The following is a 14,042-nucleotide window of genomic DNA, read 5'->3' on the forward strand; positions in this document are numbered from 1 at the left end:
GCTTGCCTTCCATTTCCCCATGATTTGTTAGCGGTGCAGCAAACAAGTGCCCCATGCATCTAATGCCGATCAAAGAAAATGACAGGATAAGATGGCTTTTTTGTAAGGCCTGGCCCAGAGCTGAACAGCTGAGACCTAAGATGCTTGTCTCCTTCAAGAGTATGAGCTGGGCCGGGTGCAGTGGCTCACGCCTGTAATGCCAGCACGTTGGGAGGCCGAGGCGGGTAGATCACAAGGTCAGGAGTTTGAGACCAGCCTGGTTAATATGGTGAAACCCCATCTCTATTAAAAATACAAAAATTAGCCTGGCGTGGTGGTGGGCTTCTGTAGTCCCAGCTACTTGGGAGGCTGAGGCAGGAGAATCGCTTGAACCCAGGAGGCAGAGGTTGCAGTGAGCCAGGATTGTGCCACTGGACCCCAGCCTGGGTGACAGAGCGAGACTCCATCTCAAAAACAAACAAACAAATAAATAAATACATAAAGAATATGAGCTGTTTAGTGGCACAGCTGGGGCCATAGTTCCTCTGAGCCTGTTTCCTCATCTGCAGAACTTGGATGCTGGTAACACCCCCAGCCAGTAGCCCACCCTAATGGGCTGTGGTAGACATCACGTGAGTGCAGTGTGAAAGTATTTTGTAAGATATATGTCTATGTTAAGGTGTTTATTGCTTTTTAACTTATGATATTCCCTTGGGCCTTCATCTTTTATTAGGATTTGGTATATACTAGATTTCTAGTATATTTCCACAAATGCCTCTTTCTCTCCTGCAATTAAATTGTCTTAGTAGCACAGGGAATGAATTAGTTCTGGCTGGAAGTGGGAAATTTGAGAATATTGATTTTCTCAAGTATCAAGGAAATTTAACTTCCTTTATAGGATTGCTTCTATAAATGAAATCAGAAACTCTTATATTTTTCAGAATGCATTTTAATGGTATGCCATCAGCTAAAAAGCAAAAATATATGAAAGTTTATATAGTTTTGACATGTTGTTTATGTTTAAAAGTCTTTGAAAACGTTGTCAAGATTTATGTGTTGAACTCCAGGTCCCCATGAAATCATGGGCTCCATAGCTGAACAAGTTCTTGAGGAGATCTATTTTATTGTGCTCTACTGAGCAGAATGTACACAGTAATAAGTCCAGCTCGATTGCTTGCTTTATACAGAAATCAGACATTCAGGCAAGAAAGCAAAGTGCTTTAATCATTAAGCACTTACAAAAAGGATTATAACTATCTCGGGGAGTCGAAGAATTTAGAACTATTCTCTATTCCCTCCCACGTGTGTTTGACTAATATAACACACCAGTTCCTAGCAGGATTTTTCTGTGTATTTTTCTGTTGCTGCTTTTATCAAGGTCTGAGTTTTTCACCCAGGTCATTGTGAGCTCTTGACAGGCTCCTGTGGCCACCACCACCTCCAGCTTGCAGATGTGCAAAGGGCTCCCTCTGTGTCTCATTCTCCTTTCCTCTGTGACCACTGCACCCTGAGCAGACTAGAATTACATCTCCTACAGCAGGGTTTCTCCTCAGTGATGCTGGTGATGACTTCAAAAACCACTCTCCTTTGTTTCATATTTTAGGGACACAGCGGGTCAGGAAAGATTCCGAACAATCACGACAGCGTACTACAGAGGAGCCATGGTGAGTGTGTTGTAGGGTTTTGTAACTCTTCAGGTAGAAGTAAAGCATGAATGTTTGTTTGCCAAGATTATAGGATTCAAGATGGAGTCTAGTATGTAGAAAAATAAATTTTCTGATGGGGAAACAAGACATTTAAAAGGTTTTTTGGGGGCCGGGCGCGGTGGCTCACACCTGTAATCCCAGCACTTTGGGAGGCCGAGGCGGGTGGATCATGAGGTCAGGAGATCGAGACCATCCTGGCTAACAAGGTGAAACCCCGTCTCTACTAAAAATACAAAAAATTAGCCGGGCGCGGTGGTGGGCGCCTGTAGTCCCAGCTACTCGGGAGGCTGAGGCAGGAGAATGGCGTGAACCCAGGAAGAGGAGCTTGCAGTGAGCCGAGATTGCGCCACTGCAGTCCGCAGTCTGGCCTGGGCAACAGAGCGAGACTCCGTCTCAAAAAAAAAGGTTTTTTGGTTGTGTTTAGCAACTATATACTTTGCCAGTGGTCTTCATCGTAATAATCAGGTGATTAACTTATAGATGTTCTAGAACTCCTCCACACATTCTGATGTGATTGTATATTTTCATTATTCTTCCTTTTATTAATACCTTATGGCAGTCGTAGCAAACCACAAGCCCTATGACTAAGTATTCTTTTCTTATACTCTCTTGTCATTCAGCCCTGCCACCATTATCTCTTACCTCACCACCTCCACAACATCCACTGCTGTGGCTCATCTCCCTGTCATCCCCCTGACCACCATTCTGCCAGCTGGCCGGAAAGAATCTGGTGAATCTTGACTACCAAGTTATTTGCTGAATCCAGGCATTTTCCTTGCTGTCATAACTTCATCACTTGTTATGTTCTATCCTAAGATGCTTCATCTATTCAGTGCACTTTTATTGCTTTTTGGCTCTGGGCAGTGTGATGCTGGGAGTGCAGTGGTGAGTAAGGCAGCTTGGAAGCTGCCTTACTTCCATGAGCTGTGCTTAACCATGCTTAGAATGCCAGGCCCAGACCACGGCTTTATCGCTGGTGTTTAGGCCTAAGCCAAGCACAAGTTGGAGTCTTGAATTATGATGAAATCTAGTATGCTCAGAGTCTTTGAAGGTTGAACAACTGAGGTCATGAACCCCAACCTGGTAGATTGTAGGGTACCAGCTGCCGTCATTCCCAACTCATTGCTTAAAAGATTCTTGTATTCCTGGGAGTGGTGCTAGGATGACAGAGCTGAAGGGGTGATAGCTGTCCCCACACCTCTAGGAAGATGTGGTCTGAACCCACAGATCCCCTCACTGACATGCTGCCCTTCCTCCTCCACCACCACTTGCTCTCCAGTGTTGGAGTAGCATCATAACTCATCCCCACAAAAAGATTAGGGATTCCTTTTTAAGGCTGAAGTGTACCACTAACCATTTTATGTGTATTTGTTCCCCACACTCCACCCTATAATACTTTTAAGATTGTGAAGGGTCATCATTTTAATAAAAATAGCTGCCAGCCACTTTCTATTTTGCTTAGACTGGAATCAAAGGGAAGGGGCTTATTATATGTGCCAGGAAGACATTTGTTTGTTGTTTGTTTGTTTCCCCCAGGAAGGAATTTTAGGGATAAAAAGAACATCATAACAGGGATGATTTGGAATAGTTTACAGGTAATTCTGATTAGAGGCATCTTAGACACACATGCCTTTCTGTTGAGCAGTTTTTTGCATGCTAGGAATGATGTGCTGACACCATTTGCATGCTCATTTTCACTGGAGGGTGGGCAGTGGCACTTAGAATATAAGAGTAAATGTTTCACTTGGATGTCTGGCTCTAGTTCATTGTATGAAGAAAGAGGGCATGGAAATGTATTAAATAATACATTTAGATTTGAGGATTGTCTTAATTTACTTACTGCCTAGTCTTTCCTCACATTACTTCAGATAATTAGAAATTGTTGCTATTCTAAATAGTATTACCTTCCACATTTTGAAGGTAGAGATTTCTGTCTTTGTTCTGCTGTATACAATGCCAGTGTCTGACACATAGTAGAGGCTCAATAAATGCTGGCTGAAGGGGTGAATCAGTGGGAAATTTTAGACCTAGACACCATCTTGGATAAATCTTCAGGAAATCCTGCTGTGCCTGACTCTTGGATCTCTCAAGTCATCCATTCCAGTCGGTTGCCGGGCCCACCATTTTCAGCAAGTGGTGGTTATGGCAGGTTTAGTTTGGCTGATTCAGGTATGTGGCATGTTGACAAGCACTATACTGGAGTCTGTCACCATGGCATTTCAAACACATCAACAGCATTCATAGGCATAGCAGTGATCCTGATGGACATTTGGGCTTTGGGGAAAAACAGGACCATATCATTACATTATTAATGTTTCTCATAGACCAACACCATCTTCTGAATTCTTAGGAAGCTATTCTTCTTGTAGATATATACTAGATACATAAAGTTTTAACCGATACACTTGAATTTGTATTTCTAACTGATTCATAATATCAGTTAGCTTAAAAACATAAGAAATAGGTGAATGATTTCTGCTATTGAAACTGAAGATATAAATTAATAATAGCTGCCATTTATTGAGTCCAAGCTATGTCCCAGGCTCTAGGTGAAGTAGTTTACAAATATCTCAGTAGATCCTCAAAATGATCAAGCGTGGAAGAAGTATTGTCCTCATTCTGTAAATGAGGACATGGAGACTGAGAGGAATAAAATAATGTCTGCAGGATCTCCCATTTAATATGTGGTGGAGCCTAAGTTAGAAGCCTCAGACTCTAGCCTGCGTTCTTAACACCACACCATGTTCACACTTTCTGTGCTAACCAGTGAAATGAAACTTCATGATGACATGGCATATAAATGATCTGGGTTGTTCATACAGTCCAAAGGATGGTAGAGCTAGGGCAGTTATTTGGGTAATTTTAATATTGTAGGCAGCCAAACACATTGCATCAGGAATTATGCAGAATCCACTTTGAATTGTTTTTATTGTGGTAAAATATACATAATAGAACATTTATCATTTTGACCATTTTAAAATGTATAGTTCTTTACTTTGACTTTTTTTTTTTTTTTTTGAGACGGAGTTTCACTCTTGTTGCCCAGGCTGGAGTGCAATGGCACGATCTCGGCTCACTGCAACCTCCACCTCCTGGGTTCAAGCGATTCTCCTGCCTCAGCCTCCCTAGTAGCTGGGATTATAGGCATGCATCACCATGCTCAGCTAATTTTGTATTTTTAATAGAGATGGGGTTTCCCCATGTTGGCCGGGCTGGTCTCAAACTCCTGATCTCAGGTGATCCACCTGCCTCGGCCTCCCAAAGTGCTGGGATTACAGGCGTGAGCCACCATGCCCGGGCTGACCTTTATAAAATAAAATTATTTACATGGAAACAATTGTAAATTGCCTTTACAGCGTGTAGCCAAAGTGAAGCATTTGTATTTGAGGCTGGAAGAAGGGAGGATAGAGGAGTTGTTTGTCATTTAAACAATAATGTATGTTTTTCTGGTTGCAAAAAGGATACATATACTACAGGAAACTTTGAAAATCCCAAGAAATCATCTAAAATCCCACTACTCTGAGAGATATATTCTGTTAACGTTTTATTTCATGTATTCTTTGTCTATGTGTATATGTGTGTTTTATATGATTTATATTTATTTATATTTTATGTTTACTTACAAAGTTGGAAGCCAGACCTGGAAGGACTTCCCCTACCATACTAAGGAAATTTAATTTAATTTTGAGTATAAAGGAGAGGTGCTAAAGGATTTTGATCAATGAAGTGATAGTTCTAGTACCCTTACGGAAAGTGGATTAGAGGAGGCTAAGAATGAAAGCAGGGAAGCTGGATGTGGTGGCTCATGCCCGTAATCTCAGCAGCTCGGGAGGCGGAGGTGGGAGGACTGCTTGAGTTCAGGAGTTTGAGGCCAGTCTGGGCAACATAGCGAGACCTCATCTCTAAAAAAAAGAAAGAAAGAAAGAAAAAAAAGAATGAAATTAATCAGGGAAATCAATTAAAGATGATGGGAATCCAGGTAAAGACTAATTTGTGAGAATCTGAATAAGGCCATGTGTGTGGTAGGTAAGATTCTGGAATATTTAGGACATTGAGTCTCCAGGACTTAGTGACTGATTGGCTATAGAGAAGATAACTCCCACATGTGTGCTTGGGCTGGCTGACTGGGTTGTATTACTTTCACCAAAATGGTAATACAAGGACAAATAGAAGATTCAGAGGAGACAAGACAATCTTGTTTTACTTTGTTGAGTTTGCCGTGATCACAAGGGGATATCTATTGGCCAATGTCCAGACAGTGGTCTCTTGAGTACCCCAGCCTAGCCCTTCAGCCTCAGCTTGTGCCCTCCGCCCATTAGATCTGTGCAGCCTTGCCAAGCTGACTTTCTTTCACTCAATCCAGCGGTCTCTGGTTCAACATCAGCAAGAGATTTACAATGTTTCTGCTATTTGCCAGGTACCTGGGCTTCCCCTCTTCACCGCAGCTCCTAGCCCTTTGCCTAGTTTAAGTCTACTAAGTTCCCAGGCTTTGGCTTTAATGTCATTTCCTCAGGGAAGCCTCCCCTGCCCACTCCAGCCCCTCAACCAGATTGAATTACACCCCTAGCATATGAGCTCCCCATGCATCTTCATAGCAGTTGTCAAAATTATAATTAGTTGTATAGATATTGGTTTATTGTCTGTTGTCTTTGTTAGCCATCTACAAGAGGAAGAGACCTTTTCTATCTTGTTCACTGCTAGTAGGATCTAGTATAGTATCAGGCACACAGTAGGTGCTCACTAAATATTTATGTAGTAGATGGACAGGTGAGTAGTTCTAGCACTTAGTACAGAAGTGTGGTCTGGGGATATAGATTTTGCAGTAGCATACAGGTGTTAGTTTAAACATTTGGAAGGTAAACCTTTTAGAAATACCAGACATGGGCTGGGCGCGGTGGCTCACACCTGTAATCCCAGCACTTTAGGAGGCCAAGTCGGGCGGATCACGAGGTCAGGAGATCGAAACCATCCTGGCTAATATGGTGAAACCCTGTCTGTACTAAAAATACAAAAAATTAGCTGTGTGTGGTGGCGGGCGCCTGTAGTCCCAGCTACTCGGGAGGCTGAGGCAGGAGAATGGCGTGAACCCGGGAGGTGGAGCTTGCAGTGAGTGGAGATCATGCCACTGCACTCCAGCCTGGGTGACAGAGCGAGACTGTGTCTCAAAAAAAGAAATACCAGACATGGAGTCTTTAAAAATATGATGAGAATGCCTTTCATTAAACCAGTATAACAAATGCATTGGATTTTAAGTGTCTGTGATGTACTTAGATAAATAGTGACAACCTATTTTTTGATCAACCTACATAAAAAATAATTTTAAAGCAGTGTGGTCTCAATCTTAGTAGAAGAGTAGAAAGCAAGATAGTTTCTACTTGGAATAAACAAGTGCACAGTGGAAGTGATTAACTCTTACTCTCAATGTTATCGCTGTTTTGACTTAACACTCAGCTCCAATTGGGGCTGATTGTTATCATGTGAGGTCAGGTAGAAAGGGTGTATCACCTTTACCACGATCACTAATTCATTAAAGGTTAACAGTGAAAATGTTAAAAGGGTTTTTATTTACATGGTGAGACCAGTGGAATAAGTATTTATTGATTTTTGTTTCTCTGTACTTTTCAAATTTATTATGAACCCTTTTTAAAGGGAAAAAATGGACAAACAAAAGGTTTCTGGAGGGTAGGAGTACATTGACATTATATACTATAACTTTAAATATATAAAGTACTAAATAAAGATATTTTTCCCCCTTATAGGGCATTATGCTGGTCTATGACATCACAAATGAAAAATCCTTTGACAATATTAAAAATTGGATCAGAAACATTGAAGAGGTATGTGTGGAAAGAGAATGGTGACATTGGAGAAGAGTCCTGCTGGGTGCTTGTAAAAGGCTCCTCTGTCTGCAAGGCAGCTGAGCTGCTTAGAAGCAGGGCATGGGCAGGTTGGGCCCTCTCTCTCTGAAGAGCTCCATAAATCTCTGGTGCTGCCAGTCTGACTACTGGGGGTTAGGGGGACAGAGAAGTAACGTCACAAGATTTTAAGCTTGGGCCAGATATGGGAAATAATTTAATCCTAGATCACATTTTACACATGAATAACTGAGAACAGAAAGAAGTGATTTGCCTGTGCTCATACAGCCTTTAAAAAGAAGAGCCAGGATTAAAACATCTGGTTCCCAGCTTCTATCCCACCATGCTGTTTGGCTAGCAACAATTATCTCTTTACCTTGGCAACTTTTTGCCCTTCTGACATTTTCTCCATCTTAGATATTTGAAGATTGTTTTAATTCCAGGATAATTGGTATTAAGATTTTTTTAATGTCTTTGTCACTTAAGAAAGAAATCTGACTCTGAAATAATTTTGTACACGTTTCTATAAACTTAGATGAATTTCTTTTTAAAATAGTACAGAATCTAGAATACCATCTCCACTGGTTCACTCAGTACCAAGTTTTTGTCCTTCTTTGACCTGAATATTTGGAAATTTTGTCATTAGATCACCATAAGCTTTATTTGTGTTTGTTCCACCTTCTTTCCAAACCTCGGGAAGAAGGTTTGCACAGGCTCTGTGAGGGCTCTTGTACTGTAGCTTTGCCCCTCTTCCCATCTTTAAACTTTTCTCTGAATTAGGCCTTGTGTGAGTAAAAGATTATGTCTTATTAAATTCATGTGTTTCTGACAGGTTGGATTTGTCTATTAAGTAACGGGTTTTTCTCAGGCTGTTTTTATAGCATGCTATTTTCTCCCTGCAGCATGCCTCTTCCGATGTCGAAAGAATGATCCTGGGTAACAAATGTGATATGAATGACAAAAGACAAGTGTCAAAAGAAAGAGGGGAGAAGGTAAATGTGAATGGAATGGATAAAGGTTGGAATCTACTCACATTAAGCATTTCTTTTCTTCATATTATTTAATTATTGATTTTTTTTAAAATCTGTGTTTTAATCCCTTTAAATTGGATATCAACAACAAAGAGATGTAATCCATACTTGAATGGTGTGAATTAGTATTCGAGATCCAGCTCTCTATACTGTGTGGTCATGACTCATTCCTAAAGAATTTGCTAATGTTTTCTGGGAGATACAAATTGGTCCTTTCTCAGATTCCTGCAGCTTAGAGTTCAGGCTGTTTCTTCCAGATCTGTGTGAAAATGCCCAGTTTTGAAGTTAAAGTAAACATTCTTTTTGAAAAAGAAGTTATAGGGATAGGTGAAGTTTCAACAGGAATCATTTTCCAATTCATTTTTTTCCCTAAGAATATTTTACTACACATTAGCGTTAGGTTTTATGGATAAATTCCTTGTAACTGATCAAGCTATGGATGTCATTTATATGTTGTTTATGGGCATGGGCATTTCTCTCTTTTGTGTCCTGTAAAGCAAAGGAATATTTTGTGTACATATTTACTTCTGTGACAGATTCTAAATTGACTTAGAAGCTTCACTTTTTAAGTCTTGGAATTTTGCTTTAGCCTTTAAAAAAATTATATATGCAAAATGCATTTTCTTTTCTTTTTTTTTTTTTTTGAGACAAAGTCTTGCTCTGTCTCCCAGGCTGGAGTGCAGTGGCGTAATCTCAGTTCACTGCAACCTCTGCCTCCTGGCTTCAAGCAATTCTCATGCCTCAGCCTCCAAGAAGGTGGGATTATAGGCATGTGCCACCACACACATATACCCGGCTAATTTTTGTATTTTTAGTAGAGACGCGGTTTTGCCGTGCTGGCCAGGCTGCTCTTGAACTCCCGGCCTCAAGCAATCCACCTGCCTCGGCCTCCCAAAGTGCTGGGATTACAGGTGTGAGGCACCATGCCCAGCCACATTTTGTTTTTCAATCTGACTGTGAACTTTTGCTGCAAACTTTTTTCCCCTAAAAACATTTACTTAATTTTAGCATTGTAAATGAACTAGGAACTTTTTGAGGAATATATAAGAGTTCGCAATTTGTCTCAATCAATAGAAATCAAAGCATGAATACTTTAGTATTTAAGTTTTTGTTCAATTCTGGACTCATTTATTAAAATTAATTAAGGCCTGGCGCAGTGGCTCATACCTGTCATCCCAGCACTTTGGGAGGCCGAGGTGGGTGGATCACGAGGTCAGGAGTTCGAGACCAGCCTGACCAACATGGTGAAACACTGTCTCTACTAAAAATACAAAAATTAGCCGGGCATGGTGGCGTGCGTGCGTCTGTAGTCCCAGCTACTCAGGAGGCTGAGGCAGGAGAATCACTTGAACCCAGGAGGCGGAGGTTGCAGTGAGCTGAGATAGTGCCACTGTACTCCTCCAGCCTGGGCAACAGAGCAAGACTGTGTCTCAAAAAAAAAAAAAAAGTAATTAAAAGTAAGTATAGTTTTTTTTTTTTTTATTTGAGATGGAGTTTCACTCTTGTCACCCAGGCTGGAGTGCAATTGCACAATTTTGGCTCACTACAACCTCTGGCTCCCTGGTTCAAGCGATTCTCCTGTCTCAGCCTCCCAAGTAGCTGGGATTATAGACGTCTGCCACCACACCAGGCTAATTTTTGTATTTTTAGTACAGACGGGGTTTCACCATGCTGGCCAGGCTGGTCTCTTAACTCCTGACCTCAGGTGATCTGCCTGCCTCGACCTCCCAAAGTGCTGGGATTACAGGCGTGAGCCACCACACCCGGCCTAAAAGTCAATACAGTAACTGTTGGAGAATTAAACTTTGGGAGCAGATAAAAGGAGTGAATGAATCCCAAGATAATGGTAGTTTTACCAGTGGAGGGTCTTGACTACAAGTCAGCCAGATTCTTGGCATTTTGAGCAAAGAATTGGACAAAATGCACACACACAAACAATGAAAGAATGAAGCCAAAACCACAAATTTATCGAAATGAAAGTACACTCCACAGAGTGGGAGTGGGCTTGAGCAAGCAGCTTGAGCACTGGTTACAGAATTTTCTGGGGTTTAAATACCCTCTAGAAATTTCCCATGGGTTACTTGGTTTACACTCTGTAAATGAAGTAGTGGCCCATGACCAGTTTGATTGGTTGCAGAAGGTGACCAATCAAAGGATGAAATGAAGTTACAAAGTTATACCCTGCGCAGACGTCTGATTGGTTGTGGGAGGGGACCAATCAGAGGTACTTTCCATTTTTAATCTGTGAGTCAGAAAAGGGGAGGAGGTTGCAAAGGGAGTAACCCCTGTACTTTTGTTACTTGGGCATGGAAGGCTGGGGTTTTTCTTTTGATTTAGTTCTAGGAAGTCAATGTGAATTGGCCTTAGGTTCCCTGCCTCCAGACCCTATTCTGCTACCTTAGGAGGGTGGGTATTTATCCCATATTAGAGAACTAAAAGTACAAAAACAGAAAAAAAGAGAAGTACTTAAATTATTATTATTATTTTATTTATTTATTTATTTTGAGACAGAGTCTCGCTCTGTCACCTGGACTGGAGTGCAGTGGTGCGATCTCGGCTTACTCCAACCTCTGCCTCCTGGGTTCAAGCAATTCTCCTGCCTCAGCCTCCCGGGTAGCTGGGACTACAGGCGGGTGCCACCACGCCCGGCTAATTTTTTGTATTTTTAGTAGAGGCGGGGTTTCATCATGTTAGCAAGGAGGGTCTCGATCTCCTGACCTCGTGATCCGTCTGCCTCGGCCTCCCAAAGTGCGTGAGCCACCATGCCCGGCCTTAAATTATGTTTGAAATGGAAGTTGTGCCATCCTTCTTACGATGATTAAGTTAAATTATTAAATTCTGAATACAGTAGAAGAAAGCAAAGAAATTTGAGAACCACAGGAGTTCTGAAATAGATACCCTACCTTTGAGACTTTGAAAAACCTAAGAAATACAAATGCATTATGTGTTCAAGTATCTTTTGCTAAATTTAAATATTTCTGTTTACTTTTCAGCTAGCAATTGACTATGGGATTAAATTCTTGGAGACAAGCGCAAAATCCAGTGCAAATGTAGAAGAGGTAAGAAGGAAACGTTTGGTGACTGTTACGGAGCAGCACCAGTGCTTAGGGGCCTGTGTTCAAACAGCTCTCAGAGCTTTGGTATTTTCTGACCTAATGAATGCCTTTTGTTGACCCAACTCTACTTTGTACACTTTTGTGCTTCTGATTTTTTTTTTTTTGAGATGGAGTCTCACTCTGTCGCCAGGCTGGAATGCAGTGGCATGATCTCGGCTCACTGCAACCTCTGCCTCCCAGGTTCAAGCGATTCTCCTGCCTCAGCCTCCCGAGTAGCTGGTACTATAGGTGTGCATCACCACGCCCAGCTAATTTTTGTATTTTTAGTAGAAACGGGGTTTCACCATGTTGGCCAGGAGGGTCTCGATCTCTTGACCTCGTGATCCCCTCTCCTTGGCCTCCCAAAGTGCTGGAATTACAGGCGTGAGCCACCATACCCAGCTGCTTCTGATTTTTATGTAGACGCTGGTTGTTGAATTTCTAGCATCTAGCCTCCACCTGGATTATATTAGCTTGCTCAGTTAAGATTCACAGAATAGATTATGGAAGTTCAGTTTTGCCCTTTTTTTGGGCAGCTGGAAATCCTGGACTAGAAGACCAACCAGTATCCTGTGCTCATTCATGTCACCCTGTATGCCTGCAGCAGAAGAGTTAAATCACTTTTAAGGCTGTACTCTCTCAAGGGAGAATTAAGCTGTTAGTTTATTGGACACATTCCTTTAGCGTACACATTTGAGGTAGATTAAGCACAATAAATTGTAACAGTGGCATTTAGTGGAAATAGGAAAGTGTTTATCAGGGAGTAGCTTTAATAAATTTTCATTAAGTTAGCTGTTAAGGAAAACCAAACCATCTAAAGTCTTATGAGAATAGGTTTTCTTCAATACCTAACGTAGATGACTGGTTGATGGTTGCAGAAAACCACCATGGCACGTGTATACCTAGGTAACAAACCTGCATGTTCTATACATGTATCCCAGAACTTAAAGTGTAAAAAAAAAAAATAATAGGTTTTCTTCACCAAGGGAACTGTTATTTTTTTTAAAAAACATTTTTTCAACTGATCATAAAAATAATACGTGTAATTTACATGTGATATGTGTTAATACATGTAATTCTTTTAATAATACTGATAGTTTCATAAACATTTAATTTCCTAGGTTACTCATTGTTCATCATAACATGATGGTTAAAAATCGAGACCTACATGACTTTATTAGCCAGTGGACACTGATCAGAACTTTTTCTTTGTTTTAAATAACGTAACAGTTATTTGTTTAGGTTGGCCGATGGGTGTTAGGAAACAGGAAGCCTCTACTGATTTACTTACACAAGCTTAGATAAGCAGAAAAATGCTTCCCTCTGCTTGATACAAAAGGATTTCCCGCCATCAGAAATAATCCAAGTTAAAAATGGACAAAAGATCTGAATAGACATTTCTCAAAAGAAGACAAATAAATGGCCAACAGGTATATGAAAAAATTCCCGACATCAGTAGTGATCAGGGCAATGCATATCAAAAGTACAGTGAGCTATCATCTCACCCCAATTAAAATGGCTTTTATCAAAGAGATAGGCAATAACAAATGCTGGAAAGGATGTAGAGAAAGGGGAACCCTCATATACTGTGGGTAGGAATGTAAATTAGTACAGCCACTATGGAGAACAATAAAAAAACTAAAAATAGAACTACCATATGATCCAGCAGTCTCACTACTGAGTATTTACCCAAAAGAAAGGGAATCAGTGTATCCACCTAAGTGTCCATCAGTGGATGAATGGATAAAGAAAATGTGGTATGTATACACAATGGAATACTATTCAGCCATAAAAAAAGAGTGAAATCCCATAATTTGCAACAGTATGGATAGAACTCCCTGAACTGGGAGTTGCCTGAGCTGCTTATTCTAGCAAGGCATACAGATGGTAACAACTTTGCCAGAGCTTTAAATCAGTGTGGTTAGGCTCATAGGTGACAAGTTTGACAGTGAGACACTGACAATGAGTAATAATAGTAGTTGTCGTATTGTTTTTATTTGATTGGATTGGAAATAATCCTTTTCCTGAACAGTTTTTGGGGATCAGGAGTGTTGGGAACAAAGAGGTTGATTTAACAATAGGTTTAGCATGGTGACAAATGAAGAATCTTTAACAGTTCCTGGCTTCATAGAAAAAGTGATGATGGATTTAAAAAATATTTGGTTTGTATCAAGAGACATTATGGATAAATTATCACGAAGATTAATCAGATTTGCCCTGCTTCTATTCGAACTGACTTCCATGGTGGGGAATTTAGCCGAGAGCTCCAGGAACTGTTGGGATTTTGGAGTAAGACATGGAAGATTATACATATTCAGCTATAAGAGTGAGAGCAATTTGAAAGAAAAAGCCAGAAATAAAAAGTAGAGATTTTTG

General features: G+C 40.8%; 1 protein-coding gene across 3 annotated transcripts in view; it reads left to right on the plus strand.

The window, feature by feature from the left end:
* Positions 1 to 14,042, plus strand: part of RAB8B (RAB8B, member RAS oncogene family) — a 78,171-nt gene that overhangs the window by 58,457 nt on the left and 5,672 nt on the right. For 2 of the 3 annotated variants that reach the window (XM_017022312.1, NM_016530.3), the window contains 4 exons: positions 1,583 to 1,643; positions 7,445 to 7,522; positions 8,443 to 8,532; positions 11,565 to 11,630. In XM_017022312.1, the coding sequence (XP_016877801.1) occupies positions 1,641 to 1,643; positions 7,445 to 7,522; positions 8,443 to 8,532; positions 11,565 to 11,630 (237 nt within the window). In that variant the 5' untranslated portion in view covers positions 1,583 to 1,640. Of the gene's footprint in view, positions 1 to 1,582; positions 1,644 to 2,305; positions 2,416 to 3,221; positions 7,523 to 8,442; positions 8,533 to 11,564; positions 11,631 to 14,042 lie in introns of those variants that run through there. The other variant, XM_011521669.4, reaches the window with a different exon arrangement.

Source organism: Homo sapiens, chromosome 15, assembly GCF_000001405.40.
Source record: "Homo sapiens chromosome 15, GRCh38.p14 Primary Assembly".
In the NCBI taxonomy this organism is placed as follows: Eukaryota; Metazoa; Chordata; class Mammalia; order Primates; family Hominidae; genus Homo; species Homo sapiens.